The following is a 25456-nucleotide window of genomic DNA, read 5'->3' on the forward strand; positions in this document are numbered from 1 at the left end:
ACCCCAGGGGCCACGGCGGGGTTGGCGGGAGTCCGGCCAGGAATCCGAAATCGGGTTCCAGGAATCTGGGGCCGCGGCCTGGGTCCAAAAGACCCCTCCGCTTGTTCCTGTGGGGCGGGTAAAAGCAGACCCCAGGGAGTACATGGATAGGCAAAATCGTATGATTCAAAAGGAACAAAAAGGGTGCACAGTGCCCCTCGCCCCCATTCCATCAATTCAGGACCTTTGTCAGTCTTATAGATGAAAACGCCTACTAGAGATTTAATTCTCATTTTCTCTTACGAGTGAGTTCTGGCATCATTTCATGTTAAAGCCCTTTGTAATAATCATATGATCCAGCAATTCCACTTCTAAGTATACATACATCCAAAAGAATTGAAAGCAGGGACTCGAACAGGTATTTGTACACTCATGTTCACAGCAGCGTCACTCATAATAGGCCAAATGTGGACATAACCCAAGGGTCTGTCTGCAGATGAGCGGGTAAACAAAACGTGGTACAGTAGTCCCCTTTATCGGCGCATGACAGTTCCATGACCCCCGGTGGATGCCGGAAACCATGGATAGCATTGAACCCTACCTACATATGCCAAGGGTTTTTTTCCCCCTTTTCCGTGTGTGTGTGTGCGTGTGTGTGTGTGTGTGTGTGTGTGAGAGAGAGAGAGAGAGAGAGAGAGAGAGGGTTCTCACTCTATTGCCCAGACTGGTCTTAAACTCCTGGGCTCAAGAGGTCCTCCCACTTCCACCTTCCAAAGTGTTTTTCAGGAGTACAGGCCTGAGCTACAAGGCCCAACCCTGTTTATTTCGTATACATACATCCCTATGATAAAGTTTAATTTATGAATTAGGCACAGTAAGACATTAACAATAACGAATCATAAATAGAACGGTTAAGTAAAATAAAGATTGCTTGTACACAAATGCCGCAATACTGAGATCACCAATATGATAACCAAGCTGGGTACTAAGTGACTAACAGGCAGTGGCATAGATGCGGGAAATTTTGTCACACTACTCACAGCAGTGAGAAATTTAAAACTCATGAATTGTTTATTTCTGGAATCTTCTGTTTAATATTTTCCGACTGCAGTTGACCCCAGGTAACTTAAACCATGGAAGAAGAAACCCCAAAAAGGGGGGAACTGTTGTATATACATACAGTGGTGTATTATTCAGCCTTAAAAAGGAATGAAATTCTGACACGTGGTATAAACATGGACAGACCTCAAAGGCATTATACTAAAAAATAAGCCAGACACAAAAGAACAAATATTGTATGACTTCACGTATATGAAATATCTAGAATAGGCAAATTCACAGAGACAGAATCATGGTTGCTAGGGATTGGGGGTGGGGGGGTATAGGGAATTATTTAACGGGTACAGAGTTTCAGTTTGGGGAGATGAAAAAGTTCTAGAAATGGATAGTGGTTAACCACAATATGAATATATTTGTACTACAATATGAATATATTTAATGCCACTGAATTTTATACTTAGAAATGGTTAAAATGGTAATTTTTACATTATATATATTTTACCACGATAGAAAAGAGAACTAGCCATTTAAATAAAAATATTAACAGGTCGGGCACGGTGGCTCACACCTGTAATCCCAGCACTTTGGGAGGCTGAGACAGGTGGATTGCTTGAGCTCAGGAGCTGGAGACCAGCCTGGGCAACATAGTAAGACCTTGTTTCTACTAAAAATAAAAATTAAAAACTAGCCAGGTATGGTGGCACGCGGCTGTAGTCCTAGCTTTTGGAGCAGGGGTGAATGTGTACATGGTGCCCAGGGCTGCACACCTACAAGGTGCCTGTCTTGCAGCTGGCTGCACCCCAGGGTGCACACACGCAGCAGTGGATCCCACCAAGGGGCCTCAGAGAGGAGGCGGGGGGCTGAGAGTGGCATCAAGACCCTGCTCAGGGAATCAGCTCATTCAATCCACAGGAAGGCTGTTTCTTCCTTAAGAGAGGCCAGGCCGGACGCAGTGGCTCACACCTGTAATTCCAGCACTCTAGGAGGCCAAGGCAGGTGGATCACTTGAGCTCAGGAGTTAGAGACCAGCATGGGCAACATAGCAAAGAGTGTGGTGGCGCTGTGGTCCTAGCTCTTTGGGAGGCTGAAGTGGGAGGATCATCGAGCCCAGGAGGTTGAGGCTGTAGTAAGCCATGATTGTGCCATTGCACTCCAGCCTGGACAACAAAGCGAGACCCTGTCTCAAAAAAAAAAAAAAAAAAAAATACTAACAATGAAAAGAAGCCATTTTTATTGCCTTTTCTGTGTCTTAGTGTCATGAAAGAGATTTTGCATTGCAGGTTAAACGGTTTATTTCTAAAATTTACATAAACTTCTGCAAAAAAGAAATGATTTACTTATTCCTGGAAAGTCTACATTTTATTATACATTGGTTGGGTTAATCATATCAGTCAATGGTGTCATAGTCAGTGGGTTAAATATTATGAACTGTAACAATTATAGTTAACTCCAAAATACAAACAGTCTTCTACAACATGTTAACCTTTACCTTTTCCTCTTATAAACCTACATTATAAACACCTTAAGATAACAGTTTTGGGTTAAGGGTGTCAAAAGGCAAAATTACAACTAACTTAGTTATGGATCTAATTGGCTTTTTGAGATTCATGAATTGCAGCCGCCTCCATTCTACAAACTAGTATGAGAGCTCCCACTGGGTGGGTTTTGTAAGATGGGAATAAAGAAATAGGATTTTAAAAAGCTGATTGGTTATCAGGTTACTTTTTTGTGAGAGTTAAAACAGAGGAGACTCCCTTATTAGCCTGGCTCAGGTAGACTGAAATCTCCTGTTTTCAGAAAAAACTGTTCTGGTTGGTGATCTACCTATCTGCTTCCTTAAAGTTTCAATTAGATTATGTGACATTTAGCATGAGTGACTCCATTTCGGTTAGGTGTGGCCTTTTGGGGCCTAGTGCAGCAGCTCAGTCCAAAACAATAGTTTCCCATAATCTTTGTTTAACAGAGGTTACATCTGATAAGAGATTAACAATAAATATTTCTTATTGACTAATTTATCATTGTTGTCTCATGCAAAGTTCTTCCCTTGTTTTATTTATATTTTAAATTTTGTTTATATATATGTATGTGTGTATATGTATATATATATATATACTTTTTTTTTTTTTTGAGTGGTGCAATCATGGCTCACTGCAGCCTCTGCCTCTTGGATTCCAGCAATCCTCCCACCTCAGCCTCCTGAGGAGCTAGAACTACAGGTGCCCACCACCACACCCAGATAATTTTTGTATTTTTTGTAGAGACAGCATTTTGCCATGTTGCCCAGGCTGGTCTTGAACTCCTGTACTCAAACAATCCATCCTCCTCAGCCTCCAAAGTTTTGGGATTATAGTCATGAGACACCGTGCCTTGCCCTTTGTTAATATATGTATTTGCATTTACCCCAACTCCTTTTCCATTCTCCCCATAGGCAACTGCTCCAGTGTCTTTAATGTGTATCCTTTTGCATGTTTTCTAGCCAGTGTTTTCTGTACATGCATTTTTAATTTATGACAATAACATTGCACTATATAACTCTGCTTCTTTTTTTTTCCTCCAGCAGCATGTTTTCACGATCCATTTATGTTGTTCTGTGCATATCTAATCTGGGGGCTGTCCACTCTCCCCCAGCAATGCCTGGAGATTCCTACATCCCTACAACCCCAACAATAATTTCATGATTCAGCTTTCTAATTTTTGCCAGTTTTTAGATGTAGGGTAATTTCCTCATTGATATTTTAATTTACCCTTTTCTGGCTGGGCGCGGTGGCTCATGCCTGTAATCCCAGCATTTTGGGAGGCCGAGGCAGGCAGATCACCTGAGGTCAGGAGTTCGAGACCAGCCTGGCCAACATGGTGAAGTCCCGTCTCTACTAAAAATACAAAAATGTGCTGGGCCTGGTGGCACATACCTGCAATCCCAGCTACTTGGGAGACTGAGGCAGGAGAATTGCTTGAACCCTGGAGGCGGAGGTTGCAATGAGCCAAGATTGTGCCATTGCACTCCAGCCTGGGCAACAGGAGTGAAACTCTGTCTCAAAAAAAAAAAATGAAGAAGAAGAAGAAGAAGAGGAAGAGGAAGAAAGAAGAAGAGGAAGAGGAAGAAAGAAGAAGAGGAAGAAGAAGAAGAGGAAGAGGAAGAGGAAGAAAGAAGAAGAAGAAGCAGCAGCGAAGGAGGAGGAGGAGGAGGAAGAGGAAGAGGGAGAAGAAGAGGAGGAAGAATTTGCCCTTTTCTGAGCATATCTTTTTATATTTACTAGTCTTTAGGGTTTTCTCTTGGATTGCTGGATATATCCTTTGCCTATCTTTCTGTTGTGATTTCTATCGTGTTCTTGATGATTTGTAAGAGTTCCTTTATGTTCTAGACCTGCACTGTCCAACAGGGTAATCACTAGGCAAATATGGCTATTTATGGTTAAATTAATAAAAATGTAGTTCCTAATTCACAGTAGCCGCATTTCAAGTGCTCAGTAGCTACATGCAGCTGGTGCACCGAGCAGCTATAGAACACTTCCCTCACTGCAGAGAACTCCACCAGACGCACTGGTCTAGACTAATGTTCTAGATGTCAGCCCCTAGAAATTACAAATATTTTCCCCTAGTCTGCACCAGTCTTAAATTTGTCCATAGAGCCCTTGGTTGAACATAAATTTTCATATTTGATGTAACCAAAATTATAATTTTTTCCTTATAACTTCTGCTTTTGAAGGTTTGGTTAAGTCCTTCCATAGCCTTAAGTCTCAAAAGATGTTCTCTTACATTTCTGTCTGTTAGTTTTATAGCTTTAAGTCTTTATTCCATGTGAAGTACAGCATTTTTCTATGGTGTTAGGTAGAGATTTGGCTTTATTTTTTTCTTTTTTTTTTTTTTTCATTTTCTGAGTCACTTTCTCAACACCAAATACTAGACAGTCAGTGCTGAATGCTCGTGAATATAGACGTCTGCCTCCAGTGTCTCTATTCTGGTCCATGCCCTGGTTGACTGTTCTTGTTCCAGCACGGCACTCTTCTTAGCTGTATATTTGGTAGCGTGTTTTAGATACTTGTGGATCTTTCATCTCCTAGATAAATTTCAGAGGGAGTGCCCTAGTGCTGCTGGAATGAGCTACCACAAACGTGGTGGCTCAAACCAATGGAAAGTATTCTCTGCATTCCAGAGGCCGGAATTCTGAAATCAAGGTGTTGGCAGGGCCATGCTCCCTCCAGCCCCAGGAAGAACAGTTCCCCACCTCCTCCTGGCTTCTGGGGACCTTGGCATTCCTTGGCATTTTTTAGGTTGCAGCTGTATTGCTTCCATCTCTGCCTCGGTCTTCACACAGCTTTCTTAGAAGGATACCAGCAGCAGTATGACCTCATCTTAACTAATTACATCTGCAAAGACCCTATTTCTTAAAAAGGTCACATTCTCATGTTTTGGGTGGGCATGAATTTCAGGGGGAAACTACTTAACCTAATACAGCAAGTTTATCAACTTAAAAAAAATTCAAATTTGCTTTGGAATTGTATTGAATTTACAGATTGAAATTTGTAAGAATTGATATCTTGTCATATTAAACCATCCCATTCAAGGGTATGTCTGTCTCTTCATTCATTGAGATCATCCTTATTACAGTCTCCGACTTACAATGGTTTGACTCATAATTTCTCAACTTTATGATGGCGGAAAAGCTATATGCACCCAGTATAACCTATACTTTGAATTTTGAGTTTTGATCTTTCCCTGGGCTAGCAAATTACAGCGCGATACTCTCTTGTGACGCTGGGCAGCAGTGGTGGGCACAGCTCCCAGTCAGCCTCTCAATCACAAGGGTGAACACCGATGCTGTGCTCTCCAGTGTACATATTCAGTGAATTATACAAGATATTCAACACTTTATTATAAATAGGCTTAGTTGTTTTGTGTTACACGATTTTGTCCAACTATAGGCTAATGTAAGTGTTCTGAGCACATTTAAGGTAGACTAGGCTAAGTTATGACAGCCTAGTCCATCTTGTGATAGATTTATGATAGCCTAGATGATGATATTCAGTAGGTTGGGTGTATTAAATGCATATTTTCAACTTATGATGGGTTTATAAGAACATAATCCCCGCATAAGTCAGGGAGCATGTGCAAATGTCTTTTATTAAAGTTTTAAAGTATTTTTCATACACATCTCATATATTCTTAGTTAATTCTTTGATACTTCATGGTTTTGTAAATGTTAAAAATTGTATCTTGTTTTTTATTAAAACTTTTAATTGACTGTTGCCAGCACTGGTTGATCTTGAATCCAGCAAACTTAATAGTTGCTAAAGATTCTTCCTGATCTGAAAGTTTGTCTGTTGATTTTTTTTCCCTAGGGAGATGTCATATCATTTACAAATAATGATAGTTTATTCTCTTTCCCTTCAATTCTTATCAATTTTATTTATTTTACTTTTCTTATTAATGCTGTTGGTCAAAATTGTTTCTGATCTTTATGAAAATCCATGTAAAATTTCTCTACTAAGTATATTAATCTATGTCTTGTTATTTCTACCTTTCTTCCTATATTTTATTTGTATCTTCTGTTTTTCTTGATCAGTCTTGCCAAAAACATTATTAGTCTTTCTAAAGACTAATACATTATTAATTATTAATTCTAACGACTAATTAATTCTAAAGACTAATACATTATAGACTAAAGACTAATAATGTTTTAAATTTGTATTAACCTTCCCTATTTCATTGTTTTCAGCCCCTATTTTTATTATTTCCATCATTTTTCTTTCTTTGGTATGCTTTGATGTTCTTTTCCAATTTATTGAATTGAACATTTAGCTCACTTTTTTTTAACCTTTCCTACTTCCTAATGAACATATTTTAAAGTTACAATTGCCTTCTGTGCACAGCTTTAGCTGTGTCCCATAAACTTTGAAACGCAGTGTATGATTTCTTTCTGTTCTTTTCATTCAGTTCTAATACTTCTTTTATAATTTCCTTTCTAACCTAAAGGTTATTTAGAAATATGTTGTTTAGTTTCTAAATAGAGAGATCCCACCATAACTATTTTGAACATCTTCAAACATGCAGAAAAGTTGAAACAATGGGACAATGAATGCTTATACAGCTTACACTTCATTTCAAAAATTGTCCATATTTTCCCACTTTTACTTTATCACTATTCCTATCTCTCTCTTCATTTCCCTTCCCTTTCCTTCCTCTCTTATATTATCTCCCTCCCACTTTCTATCCTTTGTAAGTGAGCCTTTAAAGGTTAGTTGCAGACATGATGACATTTCACCTCAAAATATACTGGCATGAATCTTCTAAGAATAAGGATATTCATTTAGGAATTTTTAAAGCTAACCTTTCCCCCCAATTACATTGCAGTCTAGCTGGGTGCTGTCCTCTAAATCAGGTATCCTTCTATCTGATGGAAATGTCTGCAATGATGAAAATGCTCTTCACTGCCTAATATGGTAGCTGGTGGGCACAAATAGTAATTGAGCATGTAAAATTCAACTAGTGTCACCCAGGAACTGGATTGTGATTTGTAATTAATTTTAATTTAATTTAGACAACAACATGCAGCTAATGGCTACTATAGTGGATGGCACAGTTCTGAAGGGTATTGATCTTTTGGAATTTATTGAACCTTCGTTTATGGCCTAACACAGTCTATTCTTGTAAATGTTCAACAAATGCTTGAAAGAATGTAAATTTTCTTAGTGGCTGTTGAATAGTAAGAGTTACCTACATATGATAGCTTGAGCTTATTAGTAAAATTGTTTCAATCTTGTATTCCTTGATTTTTGTTTTTTTGCTCTGCCAGTTTCTAAGAGGAGTGTGTTAAAATCTCTAATCATAGATACTGATCTCCTTCCTATGGTTCTTTCACTTGTCGCTTGGTATATTTTAAGAGCATATTCTTAGGTGTATTTAGGTTTATAATGGTTTGGCTTCTTGTTCTATTGCTTTTATTTTCTACCATTATATAATTTCCTTATTTGCCTCAAATTCTATTTTATTATATATTAAGTTTGCTACCTCAGATTCTTACTTATCTGGTGTATATTTTTCTACCATTTTACTTTAAAATGTTTCATGTCTTTTTGTTTTAATTGTGTTGTTTGTAGTTCATCCTTCCTTTTTCTGGATGAATTATCTTCCATTGTTATACTATACCACATCTTCTCGATCCATTCATCAGTTGACCGACATTTGTGCTGTTTCCATCTTTTGGCTGCTGTGGGTGGTGCTGCTATGAACATTCATCTACAAGTATTAGTTTGAGTACCTGTTTCCAATTCCTTGGAGTACCTATCTAGGAGTAGAATTGCCAGGTCATAGGGTAATTTTTCATTTTTGAGGAGCCACCATACTGTTTTCCACAATGGCTGTACCATTTTACATTTCCACCAGTAATGCACAAGGGTGGAAACATTTCCAGTTTCTCCGCATCCTCACCAACACTTGTTATTTCATTTTTGTTTTGTTTTGTTATGGCCAAGCTAGTGTATATAAAATGATATCTCATTGTGGCTTTGATTTTCTCTAATGACTAACAAGGTTGAGCATCTTTTCATGTCCTTTGCCCATTTGTGTGTGTGTGTGTGTGTGTGTGTGTGTGTAGTTTCACTCTTTGTTGCCCAGGCTGGAGTGCAGTGGCGCAATCTCGGCTCACTGCAACCTCCGCCTCCCAGGTTTAAGCAATTCTCCTTTCTCAGCCTCCTGAGTAGCTGGGATTACAGGCGCCCGCCACCACATCCAGCTAATTTTTGTATTTTTAGTAAAGACAGGGTTTCACCATGTTGGCCAGGCTGGTCTTGAACTCCTAACCTCAGGTGATCCACCCGCCTCGGCCTCCCAAAGTGCTGGGATTACAAGCGTGAGCCACTGCGCCCTGCACCCGTTTTTTGTTTTTTTTTTTAAGAGACAGTGTCTTGCTCTGTCACCCAGGCTGGTGTACAGTGATGTCATAATAGCTCACTGCAGCCTCGAATTCCTGGACTCAAGCAGTCGTCCCCCACAGTCTTGTCAGTAGCTAGGACTGCAGAGACACAACATCAAGACCAGCTTCCTTTGCCCATTTTAAAACTGGGTTGTTTGGCTTTTTTTAAAAAATTGAGTTATAGGAGTTCTTAATATATTATTGACACTAGACCCTTACCAGATATATAATTTGCAAATATTTTCCCTCATTTTGTGGGTTTATCTCTTCACTATATGGGTAGTGTATTTTGGTGATCAAAAATGTTTAATTTTGATGGAATCCAGTTTATCTTGTCTTTTTTTTTCTGTTGCTTGTGCTTTTGTTGTTTTATATATATATATGTGTATATATATATTTTTTAAATCCTGAGACAGGGTCTCGCTCTGTCTCCCCAGGCTGGAGTGCAGTGGTGCAATCTCAGGCTCGCTGCAACCTCCGCCTCCTGGGTTCAAACCATTCTCCTGCCTCAGCCTCCCAAGTAGCTGAGACTACAGGCATGGGCCACCACACCCAGCTAATTTTGTGTCATATCTAAGAAACCATTCTCTAATCCAAGTCATGAAGATTTAACCCATGCTTTTTCTAAGAGTTTCATAGTTTTAGCTCTTACATTGAAGTCTTTGATTTATTTTGAGTTAATTTTTAAATGTGTTTTTGCATATGTAGGGCTCCAACTTCATTCTTTTGTATGTGGCTATCCAGCTGTCCCAGCACCATTTGAAGAGACCATTCTTTTCTCTATTGAATTGTTTTGGCACCCTTGTAAAAAATCAATTAATCATAAATGTAACAGTTTATTTCTGGATTCTCAATTTTATTCCATCAAACAATATGACTATCCTTGTGCCATTACCACACAGTTTTGATTACTGTAGCTTTATAATAAGTTTTGAAATCAAGAAGTGTGAGTACTCTAACTTAGTTTTTTCTTCTCAAGATTATTTCAGCTAGTTTGGATCACTTGAATTTCTATTTGAATTTTAGAATCAACTTCTCGATTTCTGCAAAATAGACAGGTGGGAAATTTGGTGAATCTGTAGATCAATTTTGGGGAATATTGCCATCATAGCAATATTAGGTTTTCCAATTCATAAACATAGATGTCTCTCCACTTACTTAGCTTTTCTTTAATTTATTTTAGTGATTTTTTGGGTAGTTTTTAGAGTACAATTCTTGCACTTTTTTGGTTAAATTTATTCCTAAATATTTTATTCTTTGATGCAATTGTAAATGGAATTTTTTAAAATATAATTTTCAGATAGTTCACTGCTAGTGTATATAAATACTAATGATTTTTATTACAACCAATTTTTTATATTGAGCATATATCTTGTGACTTTGCTGAATTCCCATATTAGTTTTTAAGAGCTTTTTTGGTAAATTCCTTAGGATTTTATACATAATCAGGTTGTCTGAGGAAAAAAGACAGTTTTGTTATTTCTTTCGAATATCTCTGCTTTTCCTTTGTTTTCTCTTTCTTTTTTCTTTTTCTATTTTTCCTTTGCTGGGGGGACCTTCTGGCATAAGTTAGGACTCTCCCAGCACAATGTTGAACAGAAGTGATCTTTTAATCTTTAACTATTCACTGGGATGTTAGCTATAGATTTTTTTCAGAGATATCCTTATCCAATTGAAGTTTCTCTTTCTAATATTCTGAGAGATTTTTTTTTTTTAATTATGAATGCAGCCGGGAATGGTGGCTCATGCCTGTAATCCTAGCACTTTGGGAGGCTGAGGCAGGCGGATCACTTGAGGTCAGGAGTTTGAGACCAGCCTGGTTAACATGGTGAAACTCTGACTCTACAAAAGATACAAAAAGTAGCTGGGCGTGAGGGTGCATACCTGTAATCCCAGCTACTCGGGAGGCTGAGGCAGGAGAATTGCTTGAACCTGGGAGGCGGAGTCTGCAGTGAGCCGAGATTGTGCCACTGCACTCCAGTCTGGGCAACAGAGCGAGACTCTGTCTGGAAAGAAAGAAAGAAAGAAAGAAAGAAAGAAAGAAAGAAAGAAAGAAAGAAAGAAAGAAAGAAAGAAAGAAAGAAAGAAAGAAAGAAAGAAAGAAAGAAAGAAAGAAAGAAGGAAGGAAGGAAGGAAGGAAGGAAGGAAGGAAGGAAGGAAGGAAGGAAGGAAGGAAGGAAGGAAGGAAGGAAGGGAAGGAAGGAAAACAAAGAGAAAGAAAGAAAAGAGAGAGAGAGAGAAAGAGAAAGAGAAAGACAGAAGGAAGGAGAGAAGGAAGGGAGGGAAAGAGAAAGAATGAAAGAGAAGAAAGAAAGAAGAAAAAGAAAGAAAGAAAAAGAAAAGAAAGAAAGAAGAAAGAAAGAAAGGAAGGAAGGAAGGAACGAAGGAAGGAAGGAAAGAAAGAAAGGAAACAAAGAAAGAGAAAGAAAGAAAAGAAAGAGAGAGAGAGAGACAGAAGGAAGGAGAGAAGGAAGGGAGGGAAAGAGAAAGAATGAAAGAGAAGAAAGAAAGAAGAAAAAGAAAGAAAGAGAAAGAAGAAAGAAAGGAAGGAAGGAAGGAACGAAGGAAGGAAGGAAAGAAAGAAAGGAAACAAAGAAAGAGAAAGAAAGAAAGAAAAGAAAGAGAGAGAGAAAGAGAGAAAGACAGAAGGAAGGAGAGAAGGAAGGGAGGGAAAGAGAAAGAATGAAAGAGAAGAAAGAAAGAAGAAAAAGAAAGAAAGAAAAAGAAAAGAAAGAAAGAAGAAAAAGAAAGAAAGAAAGAAAGAAAGAAAGAAAGAAAGAAAGAAACCCATCTCTACTAAACATACAAAAATTAGCTGGGCATGGTGGCATGCATCTGTAGTCCCACCTACTCAGGAGGCGGCTAAGGCACAAGAATCGCTTGAACCCGGGAGGCAGAGGTTGCAGTGAGCCAAGATCGCACCACTGCACTCTAGTCTGGGCGACAGAGCCAGACTCAGTCTCAAAGAAAAAACTTTTCACCTAGAGCCAGATGGACCTGAGTTCCATGGTGGCTCCTCCTCTTCCAGTAACCTCGGTTTTCCTCCAGAAAAGGGGACAGTTGTGAGGATGAAACGAGAGCTTGAATGGAAAGGGCCCAGCACACAGTAGGTGCTGCATTGCCATTTCTCCCTGTTGGCTCCCAGCCTCGCGGATAGGCACAGGTGGTCCTCAGCCCACCTGGCAGCCTCGCCTCCTGGCCCTGGGCAGCCCCTTCATTCCCCACCCAGAAAGCACACAAACAAGCCCTCCTGGCCACTGTGAGGCCTGGTGCCTCTGATGTAATTCAGCTAAAGAATTCATGACTAGGTCATGCCCCTCCCAGACACTCCATCTCTTCCCACGACCCTTTCCCAGCTTTTGTTGGCATGAAGGACCTTAAAGCCAGAGAAAACCATGAGCAAGATATGGACACTACAACAATAGCAATTAAATATCTAAGGAAGATGTGGCCTTCCAGACAGGAAAACAGAATTAATCAGGAAATACAAATGACGGCGACGAAAGAAGCTAGCGATACAGCAGGAGCAACACTCAATGTTTTGCGCTTGTTTAATGCTCACAGTATCATGTGATGAAGGAGGCATTATTGTCATCCCCATCTTACAGATGAGGAAATCAAGGCACAGTGAGGTGATTTACCTAGATATTTTCATCTGCAAAGTGGGGATGATGCTGAGTGTTGGTGTGAGCATCAAATGCGTAACTACGCGTGAAGTGCTTAGAGCAGCTGGTGGGTTGGGAGCAGGGATCTATCTGAAGCCCCCTTCTGCGATGTGGTTTTTCCAGTTAAACATGATATTTTTGAGATTTGTCTATGTGACACTCATAGCTCTAGCTCATTCACTGCATGACCACACGGCAGTTCATCCATTCTTTTGTTGGACACTGTAGAAGTTGGGTCTTCCCAGAAGCAGATACCAAGACGAAGTTGGACATATGAGACACTGACTGGGGGAAATGCCTATGAAGGAGACAGGGGGGTGAGCTGGAGAATGTTGCACTCAGATGCCTGGGAAAGGAGAGGGGAAGGAAAGAGGGTGGACAGGAAGAGTCTAGGGCTGCAGGGCCATTCTGGGAATTGTTGGGCCAGGCTGATAAGGAGTCCTCTAAACAATGTCACCATTACAGGCATCCCACATCCCCCAGGAAAGGGGATGCCCAGATACCGCCTCCCTGTACTTCTATCTGGTGCTCCCACATCAAAGATTGGAGAAGCATGGCGTCAGGAAGGATGAGGCGGAGGGAAGCTCACGACAGGCTGGGTCTGTCAACTGTGCTCCTCACAGCAGGAGTCTGAGCAGGGCCTTTCTACAGCTGCCATGGGCATGTGGGCTGTTTCACACTTCTCTCGGCTTTACCCCAAGGAGTAGGGGTGACAGCTGCTCCCACTGCGTGCTGACAGCATCGAATTTCTGGGCCTCATACATTCACTGGGGGTGAAAAAGCCAGCCTTGGGCCTCTCAGAGGCCAGCCCCCAGTCTATCCCCCAAGAGGACACACACTTCCTGACATCTCCTTGTGACTGGGAGAACACACATTTGCTACACAGGTATGGGACCCTCTCTCCTCACAAATATTTTAAAAGGGTTCTACCTTAGGGTAACCCAAGGGCCTGCCTCCCCCCATTTTAGCCAATGGTCATATCCTCTTAGTCTCAATTTAGGGAAAGGACAGGCAGTCTATTCCCTCCAATATAATACTTGGTGCTGTGGTTGAATGTCCCCTCCAAAACTCATGTTGAAATTTAATTACCATTGTGAAGACCTTAAGAGATGGGTGATTAGGCCATGAAGCCTCTGCCCTCATGAGTGAAACAATATTGTTATTGCAGGAGTGAGCTAGTCACTGAGGGAATGGGTTCCTGATAAAAGGGTGAAGTTCAGTCCCCATCTTCCCTCCTACCCTCCACCTTCCACCTTGGGATAACTCAATATGAAGGCCCTCGCTAGATGCCAGAGCCATGCCCTTGGACTTCCCAGAGCTATGAACCAAATAAACCCTTTTCTTTATAAATTGCCCAGTCTGTGGTGTTCTAACAGTAAAAAACAAACAAACAAACAAAAAAAGGAATAAGACACTTGGGCTTCTCCTTCCAAGTCCCTGTCAGCCCCAGGACTGCACATACTCCTGGGGGGAGACAGGCAAGGAGCCAAAATGTATTTGATCCTTTAAGTCAGCGGAATCCAAGAGCATTTGAGGGAGTCAGGAGGGGTCCTGAACAGAAAGCCAGGAAGATGTTTAGGGCCAGAAACGGGGATTAGGAAGTGCCCTCCTCTCGTGGTCAGTCTCCATCTCAATCACTGTGTCCAAGTTGGCCCTTTTTTTGTTGAGAACTTTGTGGGGAATGGGGACTGTTCAGGTGATCCGCCTCCATGTCAAGCCATAAATGGCTCAGCTTGAGGCAGAAGGGAGTCTTGGCTGGGATTCAGCGATTCCAGATCTGGTCCCAACCATACCATGGGCTGCTGTGTGGCTGCAGGCAAGTCACACAAAGCCTCTGCGCCTCAGTTTCCTGGCTATAAAATGAGAATGTCACCCCCTGCTGTGCCCCTCGCACTTCACACAGATCTGAGAGAAACAAGCTGGCTGCGCCAGAAAACCACAGAGGCACCACCTCTAGATTCCTGTGGAGATCCTACCACCCATTCCTTCAAAGGAAGGGACTGGGGAGCAGGGCAGCTGGCAGCAGAGGCTAATCTGCTGTGCAGGTCTGTGGAGGAAGGGACCGTGCGCGGTTCTCTTCCCTCTGCCTCCAGGCTTAGGAGTCATCCCCCACACGCGGGACCCCCAGTCCCCACTGTAGACTTCTTCCAAGTGGAATTTCTTCAACAGTTGATCAGCAGGGGGGTCAGGGCGTGCAGTGCAGGGGTGGGGGTGGGGGTTGCGAGAGGAGTGCCATCAGGGAGTAATGCTGGCGAGGCCTCATGAGGACAGCACGCTGGGGCCCTGTGTGCGATGGGCGCCAGGGGCAGGTGACATGGTGGACCCGGTCTCCCCCTTCCCTCTCCAATTGATCTAACAGAAAGCCTGATGTGAAAGTCTGGACGAGGGAATTTTCCCATATCTGCAGGAAAGCCCCGTAGCAGGTCCCTGGAGCCAGCCCGGGCAGGCCTCCGCTTACAGGACGCTAAAGATCCCTGGTTGCAGTTCTACTTTCTTTTTACTGCGTGTATTCTGCCCCTGTGATAATGATTCATTACACGCTTCCTCCATTGTTTTACTCCAGTGACCTCACGTCAAGGGAACCTGTGATCTCAGGCTTCTAGGAAAGCGAAACTTAGCCGCAGCCTGCCTCTCTCCCAGCCTGCCTTACAAGCACTGTGAGTTGCTGGCTGGCCGAGGCCCTGGCAGATCAGACCTCCTGCAGCCCCAGGGATGGCACGGGCACCGCCACTCACGCAGCCGGTAGAGCGCTCCTAGGGCAGGCCCATCTCGCTTCCCTCTCGCCTCTCCCCCCCGCTTTTGCTTGGGCCAATCCGACCTCCTCACCTCCTCGTAGCTCCCCCAGCACACCTTGCCTTTGCCATCTCTGCATGTGCCGCGCCTGCTGTCTGGAAGACCGGCATCCATTCCCCTCTGCCTTCCAAACTCTCCCTGTAGGACCAGCTCAAAAGGCATCTCCTCTTCAGCTGTTCCTGCTGCCAGGGCTAATATCGTCTTCCTCTTTTTTCCCCACTAGCGCTTCTTTGTCTATTTTGGAGAGGTTTTGTTTTGGATAACTTTTTAATTGAGATGTAACTCACATTATCATAATATTCGTCTTTTTTAAATGCACAGTTCAATGGTTTTTAGTATTCTATTCACAAAGTTGTGCAACTATCAGCATAATTAATTTCAGGATATTTTCCTCACCCTAAAAAGAAACTCCGTACCCTTTAGTTGTCACTCCTCATTTCTGCCTCTCCCCAGCCTCTGAAACCCACTAATCTACTTTCTGTTTCTGGATTTGCCTATTGTAGACATTTCATATGGATGGAATCGTGCATATATGGCCTTTGGTGACTAGTTTCCTTCTCTTAGCATAACATTTTCAAGGCTCATCATGATGTAGCCTGAATCAGTATTTCATTCCTTTTTAAGGATCAAATAATATTCATTTCTACCTTGGGGCCATTATGAATAATTCTTCCATCAACATTTGTGTACAAATTGTGTGTGGAAGTGTTTCCAATTCCCTTGGGTATATATGTAGGAGTGGAATCGCTGGCTCATACAGTCCTTCTGTGTTTAAGTTTTTGAGGAGCCACCACTGTTTCCCAAAGCAACTGTTTTTGGCTTTTTAACCAATATGTAAGCTCATTCTCATTGTTAAAAAAAAAAAAAAAAAAGTCCCCACATGCCAGTGAAATGTTCAAGTCCTCCCAATCACATCCCCATCCCAGTCCTTTCCCAGGGTCACTTCTCTTACCCTCCTGGACCCTTTGCCATTCATATACCAACACACACACACATTATTTTATGCATTTTTATATTCATGACATTTACTGTATGCTACATCCTGTATGTCAGAAACATAATGAAAACGTATTCCTTGGGCTGGATGCAGTGGCTCACACCTGTCATCCCAACCTTTGGGAGGCTGAAGTAGGAGGATTGCTTGAGCCCAAGGAGTTCAGGACCAGCCTGAGCAACACAGCAAGATCCTGTCTCTACAAAAAATTTAAAAAATTAGCCAGATGTGGTGGTGCCCACCTGTTGTCCCAGCTACTTGGGAGGCTGAGGTGGGAGGATTGCATGAGCCCAGGAGGCGGAGGCTGTAGTGAGCTATAATCACGCCACTGCACTCCAGTCTGGGTGACAGAGTGAGACCCTAGTTCCAAACAAAATAAAGTAAAAAAATCAAAAAATAAAAACTTATTCCTTGGAACCACAGCACAATGTTCTATAATATGGATAAACCATGGTTGATATAACCACTTTCCTATTGGTAAATATATAAAGTTTGTTTCCAAGTGCTTTCCTGTCATGAGAATTGCTGCCAGGTCATTCTTGCAAGCAGTGAGTGACTTTCTGGAGTAGACACTGGTGGGCGATAGTGTATGAATAGTTTAAATTTTAGTAGATAATGCCTCCAATGTTTTTGTGTAATTGATTTCTTTTTTGTTTGTTTTTGATTTTGTTTTGAACAGGGTCTCACTCTGCCATCCAGGCTGGAGTGCAGTGGCATGATCATAGCTCTCTGCAGCCTCAATCTCCTGGGCTCAGGCAATCCTCCCACCTCAGCCTCCCAAGTAGCTGGGACCACAGGCACAGGCCACCACACCTGGCCAATTTTTTAATTTTTTTGTAGAGATAAGGTCCCCCTATGTTGCCCAGATTGGACTTGAACTCCTGGGCTTAAGTGATCCTCCTGTCTCAGCCTCCCAAAGTGCTGGGATTACAGGCCTGTGCCACCTTGCCCGGCAGTGTAAAAGTTTTCTAACTGAAATGTTGTACCCTTTCACCATTTCACCATCCAACCAAGTTCTATTTTGTTGGTGTCTTGCTGCTGTCTTAATTTGCACTTCCCAGGCTCTTGCAAAGTTTATTCTCATGTTTATTGACCCCATAAGTGATTGGATTGATTTCTCCGTATGTGATCTTGGACACTCACTGTGAGCTATCTGTGCTTTTCTTATTGATTGTAGGAGTAAGTGTTTTGTAAGTTTCAACATCATTCCATTCTGTTATATGTGTTGAAAGTCTCTACTTCCCATCTATTATCTTGCTTCTTAGTTTTATTCATGGTATCTTTTGTCACACATAAGCTTTTAAAAAAATCCTGCGTAATCAAATTTATCAATCTCTCCTTTATGGCTTTAAAAAATACATGTGGCCAGGCGTGGTGACTCACACCTGTAATCCTAGGACTTCGGGAGGCCGAGGCAGGAGGATCACCTGAGGTCAGGAGTTCGAGACCAGCCTGGCCAACATGGTGAAACCCTGTCTCTACTAAAAATACAAAAATTAGCTGGATGTGGTGGCGGGCGCCTGCAATCCCAGCTACTCAGGAGGCTGAGGCAGGAGAATCGCTTGAACCCAGAAGACAGAGGTTGCAGTGAGCCAAGATCATGCCACTGCACTCCAGCCTGACCAACAGAGCAAGACTCTGACTCAAAAAAAAAAATATATATATATATATATGTGTGTGTGTGTATATATATATGTGTGTGTGTATATATATGTGTGTGTGTGTGTCTCTTTACTTCATTCTGCTCTGTTAAGCTATGATTGACAGATAAAATTGTATATACTTAAGGTATACGATATAATGTTTTGATAAATGTATATATGATATATGTATATATTGTGAAGTGATTACCATAATCAAGCTAATTAACATATCCATCATCTCATATAGTTACCATTTTGGAGGTGTGGTGAGAACATTTAAGATCCACTAGCCTAGCAAATTTCAAGTATACAATACCTTATTATTATTAACTATAGTGGCCATGTTATACATTTAGGTCTTCAGAACTTACTCATCTTATAACTGAAAGTTTGTGCCCTTTGATCAACATCTCCCCATTTTCCCCACCACCATCTCCTAGTAACCACCCTTCTACTCTGTTTCTATGAGTTCAGCTTTTTCGTGTCTGGCTTATTTCATTTGGCATAATGTCCTCCGGGTTCAACCATGTTGTTGTAAATGACGGGATTTCCTTTTTTTAAGGCTGAAAAATAAATACATAGATATAACATTTTCTTTATCCATTCACCTATCAATGGACACTTAGGTTGTTTCCATATCTTGACTATTGTGAATAATGCTGGAGTGAACATAGCAGGGCAGCCATCTCTTCAAGATCCTGCTTCTATTTCCTTCAGATACATACTCAGAAGTGAGACTGTTAGATCATATGATAGTTCTATTCTTAATTTTTTGAGGAACCTGCATACTGTGTTCCTATTTTTTAAGCCATGCAATTGGAAACGCACTGTTTTTCATAATGACTGTAGCAGTCTGTATCCCCACCAGCAGTATATAAGGGTTCCTGTTTCTTCATATCCTCACAACCACTTGTTATCTTTTGACTTTCTGACATTAGACATTCTAACAGGTGTGAGGTGATATCTCATTGTGGATTTTATTTGCAGTTTTCTTGATGATTAGTGATATTGAACACCTTTTAATATACGTATTGGCCATTGTTATGTCTTCTTTGGAGAAATGTCTATTCAGGTCTTTTGCCCAGTTTTAAATCAGGTTATTTGTTTTTCTAATATTGAGTCATATGAGTCCCTTATATATTTTGGATATTAACCCCTTATTGTATACAAAATATTGCAAATATTTTCTACTGTGGCCTTTTCAGTTTGTTGATTGTTTCCTTTGCTATGCAGAAGCTTTTTAGTTTGATGCAGTCCCACTTGTTTTTGCTTTTGTTACTCATGCTTTAGATGTCATATCCAAAAAATCATTCTTCTAGGAGTTTTACGGTTTCAGGTCTTACATTTAAGTCTAATCCATTTTCAGTAGACTTTTGTGCATAGTGTAAGATAGGGTCCAATTTTATCCTTTTTCATGTGGCTATCCAGTTTTCTCCATACCATTGATTGAAGAGACTGTCGCTTCCCTATTCTGTATTCTTGGTGCTTTGTTGAAGATAAGTTGATCATATATGCATGGGTTTATTTCTAGGATCCTTATTCTGTTTTATGGATCTATTTTTCTGTTTTTATGCCAGTACCATACTGTATTGATTACTATAGCTTTGTAGTATAATTCAAAATCAGAAAGTGTGTTGTCTCAGCAGGTGCAGTGGCTTGCACCTGCAATCCCAGCTATTCAGAAGGCTGAAGTCAGAGGATCACTTGAGGTTAAGAGTTTGAGACCAGCCTAGGCAACATATTGAGACTCAGTCTCTACAAATAAAAATAAAAAATAAAACAAAATAAGAAGCCAGGCATGGTAGCACATGCCTGGAGTACCAGCTGCTTGGGAGGCTGAGGCAAGAGGATAGCTGGAGCCCAGGAATTTGAGGCTGCAGTGAGCTACGATTGTGCCAGCCTGGATGACAGGGCTAGACTATATACATTTTTAAAAATCCTTTTATCCAATTTCCTGACTTTTGTTGGGATGCAGGAATTGAAGTTCTATTATTTTCACATGATTTGGAATTTATATATTTTATTTGTAGTTCTACATTTTGTTTGTATGTTCTTTACCATACAAATTAAACTTATTTTTTTCTCATTTATATTGTTAAAAATAACTTCTTCCTAGCCAGGTGTGGTAGCTCACACCTGTAATCCCAGCACTTTGGGAGGCCAAGGCGGGCAAATCACCTGAGGTCAAGAGTTCAAGACCAGCCTGGCCAACATGGTGAAACCTTGTCTACTAAAGATACAAAAATTAGCCAGGCATGGTGGCAGGCACCTATAATCCTAGCTACTCGGGAGGCTGAGGCAGGAGAATTGCTTGAACCCAGGAGGCAGAGGTTGCAGTGAGCCAAGATCATAATGTTACACTCCAGCCTGGGCAACAAGAGCAAGACTCTGTCTCAAAAAAACTAAAAAAATTTTAAAAACCCTCTTCTTGATAAGAAAAGAACCTTAGCATGCTTTTTATTTTTGCCATTCCACCCATGTTGATATCATCTGTGGTTTTCATTTCAAATTATTATTAATTTTTTACAATTAACATTTACTTAGATTCAACTTTTTTTGCTTTTAATGGTTACAATCATACTAATTTTTCTTGTTTTTTCTTTTTTCTGAAGTGATTCTTCTAATAATTTGCCTATAAAGTATCTGTTAAATGATAAACTTTGAGTCTTTTTATATCTGAATATTTCTTCATTTTACGCTCACCTTTGAATGAGAGAGTCGCTGTCTGCAGAATTTTAGATTTCAAAATTATTTCCTCATCAAAATGGGGACTTAAGATCTGTGCATAGGCCAGGCACAGTGGCTCATGCCTATAATCTCAGTACTTTGGGAAACCAACACAAGTGGATCACTTGGGCCCAGGAGTTCAAGACCAGCCTGGGCAATATTGCAAGATCTCATCTGTACTAAATATTAAAAAATTAGTCAGGTGTGGCAGCATGTGCCTGTAGTCCCAGCTTACTCTGAAGGCTGAGGTGGGAGGATCACCTGAGGCCAGGGAGGCGGAGGCTGCAGTGAGCCATGATTGTGCCACTGCACTCCAGCCTGGATGACAGAGTGAGACCTTGTCTCAAAAAGAAAAAAAAAAGATATGTGCATATTATTATAGTAAATATGCTTCAATTAAAGAAAATCCCCCTGAACTTTGAAGATATTGTTCTATTGTCATTCTGTACCAAGTATTGCTGAGAAAAAGCCTACTGATAATGTGATTCTAATACTTTTGTGTGTGATCTGTTTTGGGGTGTTTTTTTTTTCTTCTTGGGTTTTCTGTTTATCCCTGGTACTCTGAAATGTCACCAGTATGTGTCAAAATGAAAGTCTTTTCTTCACTTATTCTGTTTGGCAACTGGGGGGCTTTTTCAATCTGAAAAGCTATGTCTTTCTTCAATTCTGAGAAATTGTTCTTTTATTTTTATTTCTGGTAGAGATGGGAGTCTTATATGTTGGCCAGGCTGGTCTTGAACTCCTGGCCACAAGCGATCCTCCCACCTTGGCCTCCCAAAGTGCTGGGATTATAGGCATGAGCCACCATGCCCAGCTCTAATCTTTCTTTGAGTTTCTCTTTTGTCCATTTTCTCTATTTTTTTCTTCTGGAATTCACATTGGATGGTTATTTGAACTTCATCTATTCTGTTTATTCTCTTTTTATATATTTCATCTCTTGTTAATTTTGGAATGCATTCTGGTTGATTCCAGATCATTAATACATTTTTCAGCTACATACTTTCTGCTACTCACTCTATCAAATAAGTTATTTTAAATTTTAATAGTCAAGCTTCTAATTCCAAAGGTATCTAGATTTTTCAATGCAATATCCTTTCATATGTGATTATAGTTATCCTAAAGCCCAGGTTTGTATGCTTTATTAACCCTATTTTTTCAGGTATGAACTCCTTTTGCTGTCAGTCCTTTCCATCATGATATTCACTTTTTTCAAATATTTGGCTTTTCTTGGCTGTGAGTTCACCTTTGGATCTGAAATTCCTTGTTAGCCTAAGTGGCCTGCTTGCAGACAGGTGCAGGACATGCAGCTATGACTTGGTGTACCTGTGTAAAGTGGAATGAAGGGATGGGATGTGCTGCTGGGCAGCATGAGCCAATGGTGAAACTTCCAGATGTGGAAGCTTCCTGCTATCCTTGGGAGCTGTTAATCTCTGGGGCTTTGTCTTGCCTCACACCCAATTGTTCACCTCTCACTGATCCTGCCCATGGGAAGACACCTCTGTGACTCACTGTGTGGCCTGAGGTGAACATTCCTGGCTGTCTATTCTGTGAGCCTCTACCAGTCACGGTCAGTCGATCATGGACCACCTGCGGTTCCCAGTTCACAAGTCCTGAGTTTGAAGCATTCCTAGAGCTGCTCTCACCTTTTGCGGCAGTCCTCTCCTCTGGCACGGTTTCCATATTTAATCTGATCCCACCTGTTTTCCACCTTTTATTGTGGTTTTAGTTCACCAGATTTTCCCTATATTGTTTTATAGGGAAGAAATATATTTGTTTAAATCATTCTGAGCAATGTATAGAGACTTGGAATAAAAGGAAACAACTACATGTGCTCAGTCTATCATCTTGAAATGGAAGTTGAAAAGCTCTTAGTATAGGCTTTTTTTTTTTTTGACAGAGTCTCACTCTGTCGCCCAGGCTGGAGTGCAGTGGCATGATCTTGGCTCACTGCAACCTCTGCCTCTCAGGTTCAAGCGAGTCTTCTGCCTCAGCTTCCTGAGTAGCTGGGACTACAGGCGTGCGCCACCACGCCTGGCTAATTTTTGTATTTTTAGTAGAGACAGGGTTTCACCATATTGGCCAAGCTGGTCTCACACTCCTGACCTTGTGATCTGCCTGCCTCAGCCTCCCAAAGTGCTGGGATTACAGGCGTCAGCCACCGCACCCAGCCAGTATAAGCTATTCTAACACTTACCACATTGAATATAATTATTTATTCCCCAGTATTGCTCCCAAGGACATAGGCAAGTCTGTGCTCATACTAAGATGGCTTCTAGAGTCAGATGTTTCAATATTCTTGGAATTAATTTGATGAATGAAGAAATGATTGCATCAGTGTGGTTATAACAAGGATCTAATTCTTATCCCATCATTTATAAGATGATTCCTTCTACCTGCCCCTCAGTTTTCCTATCTATAAAATTAGAGAAATGTTAGAGATCATTCCTTTCATTTCAGTCTTAAAGAAATATGGGAAAGAAATATGGGAATATTTCTTGTAGAGCACATGTACTGGTAATGAATTTTCTGTTCTTGTTTATCTGGGAATATCTTAATTTCTTCTTCACTTTTGAAGGACAGTTTTGCTGGATACAGAATTTTTGGTTCACAGTCCTTTTCCTCCAGTACTTACATCATTCCACTGTCTTCTGGTCCCCATGATTTCTGATGAGAAGTTAGTTGTTATTGAGGATAACTTGTATGCAATTAAGTGGTTTTTTTTTTTTTGAGGCTTTAAAGATTCCATTGTCTTTGGTTTTTGACAATTTGACTACGATATACCTTGGTGTGGATCTCTTTCAGTTTATCCTTCTTAGGGTGGAGGCAGAGTAGCACATTAGAGTGAGGACCAGCCTTTAAGTAATCCAACTTGGAGTTCATTGAGCTTCTTGGATGTATAGATTAATATTTTCAGAAAATTGGCCAGGCGTGGTGGCTCACGCCTGTAATTCCAACACTTTGGGAGGCTGAGGTAGGTGAATTACCTGAGGTCAGGAGTTCAAGACCAGGTGGGCCAACATGGTAAAACCCTGTCTCTACTAAAAATACAAAAATTAGCTGGGCCTCGTGGTGCACACCTGTAATCCCAGCTACTTGGGAGGCTGAGGCAGGAGAATTGCTTGAACCCGGGAGGCAGAGGATGCAGTAAGCTGAGCTCTCACCACCGCACTCCCACTTGGGTGACAGAGTGAGATTCTGTCTCAAATATGTACATATAGATATATATATAGATTTTTTTTCCCCTAGAAAATTTGAAAACTCTTTGGACTTTACTTATACAATTTCTTTCTTCCCCCTTATCTTCCTGTTCTCTTTCTGGTACTCCCTTTACATGTATGTTGGTGCATTTGACTGTGTCTCATAGGTCTCTGGGGCTTGTTCATTCTTCTTTTTTTCCTTCTATACCTCAGACTAAATCATAATCATCTCTATTAACCTGTCTTCAAGTTCATTGATCCTTTCTCCTGCCAGCCTAAATCTGCTATTGGACCCCGCTGGTATTAGTGAATTTTTCTTCAAGTATTGTACTTTCCAACTCCAGAATTTCTATTTGGTTGGTTTTTTATCTTTCTGATAGATTGATATTCTGTATTTGGTGAGACATGATTGACATACTTAAAAAAATTTTTTTAGACATGGCTTCCTTTAGCTCACGGAACATATTCATAACAGCTGATTTAAAGGTTTTGTCTAGTAAATCTAACATCAAGGCTGTCTCAGGGACAGTTTCTAGTGACTGATTTTTTCCTGTGCATAGGCAATACTTTCTTATTTCTTTGCAGATCTCATAATTTTTCTTTAAAAACTAGAGCTCTTTAGGTAATATAATTTGGAAGCCCTGATAATCAGACACTCACTCTTCCAGGGCTTGTTGTCGTTGCCAGTTTGTTGCTGCTGTTTCTGTGGGGCTTTTGTTGTTGTTGTTTTTCTGTTGTTTTTTGCTCACTTTCCTGGACTAATTCCGTAAAGTCTACACTCCTCGTAATGTGTAGCCAACTGAAGTCTCTGCCCAGTTAGATTAGTGGTCAGCTAATGATCAGACAGAGATTTCCTTAAATGCCTTGAGCTAGTAAATCTTCCACCTTTTGACAAGGAGCTCTGTTTGTGGGTTGGGGCACACCTTCAATGCTCAGGAAGTTTCTAACTCTGCCTTACCCTTCGCTTCCTACTTTCACAGGGCCTCAAGGTCAGCCAAAGTGAGAGATTGGGGTCCTCTTAGTCTTTCCTGAGTGTGTACACAGTCTTGTAGATACCCAGGAGTATATCATAACTTTTCAAAGTTCTCTACGGACGTCTCGTTTCACAGATCTTCCTTTTAAATCTCTGGCCAGGCTCTTGTTTGCCTCAGCTAGTATCACAGACTTAGGCAGCTGTAATGTTAAACAATTGAAACTGATTATGCTTGGCAAATGTCCCAGGGATAGGGGTTTCCCATGGAGAGGGCCCCAAGTAGGGTTAAAGAATGACAACGCCCTGTAAATGAAACTTTTCCAGAGAACGAAGATGTAGTTCAGATAGTGACAATAGTCTAGGGATGGAGCTTCCCGAGGAGCTCCCAACTGAGTCTGTCCATCCACCCTGAGTGGCTTCAAGGCTGCTGGTTTTCAGGACTACTGTGGAGCTAGAGGCAGAGGGATGGGAGGAGTTAACCACACAAACCCCACTGTTCTTACCAAAGTACAGC

The 25456-nt window shown here is 41.1% G+C and overlaps 4 annotated features.

The window, feature by feature from the left end:
* Window positions 14424-15116: an enhancer, noted in NCBI's record as "H3K4me1 hESC enhancer chr2:97151159-97151851 (GRCh37/hg19 assembly coordinates)". NCBI's record gives its function as "activates a minimal SCP1, AML or CMV promoter by ChIP-STARR-seq in primed H9 embryonic stem cells {active_cell/tissue: H9 hESC(primed)}" and the evidence as "EXISTENCE:reporter gene assay evidence [ECO:0000049][PMID:30033119]".
* Window positions 14424-15451: a biological region, named in NCBI's record as "H3K4me1 hESC enhancer GRCh37_chr2:97151159-97151851".
* Window positions 14802-15451: an enhancer, noted in NCBI's record as "active region_16217". NCBI's record gives its function as "activates an Ori minimal core promoter by ATAC-STARR-seq in GM12878 lymphoblastoid cells {active_cell/tissue: GM12878}" and the evidence as "EXISTENCE:reporter gene assay evidence [ECO:0000049][PMID:35858748]".
* Window positions 21978-22637: an enhancer, noted in NCBI's record as "NANOG-H3K27ac hESC enhancer chr2:97158713-97159372 (GRCh37/hg19 assembly coordinates)". NCBI's record gives its function as "activates a minimal SCP1, AML or CMV promoter by ChIP-STARR-seq in naive H9 embryonic stem cells {active_cell/tissue: H9 hESC(naive)}" and the evidence as "EXISTENCE:reporter gene assay evidence [ECO:0000049][PMID:30033119]".

This window comes from Homo sapiens, chromosome 2 (assembly GCF_000001405.40).
Source record: "Homo sapiens chromosome 2, GRCh38.p14 Primary Assembly".
Taxonomy (NCBI): domain Eukaryota; kingdom Metazoa; phylum Chordata; class Mammalia; order Primates; family Hominidae; genus Homo; species Homo sapiens.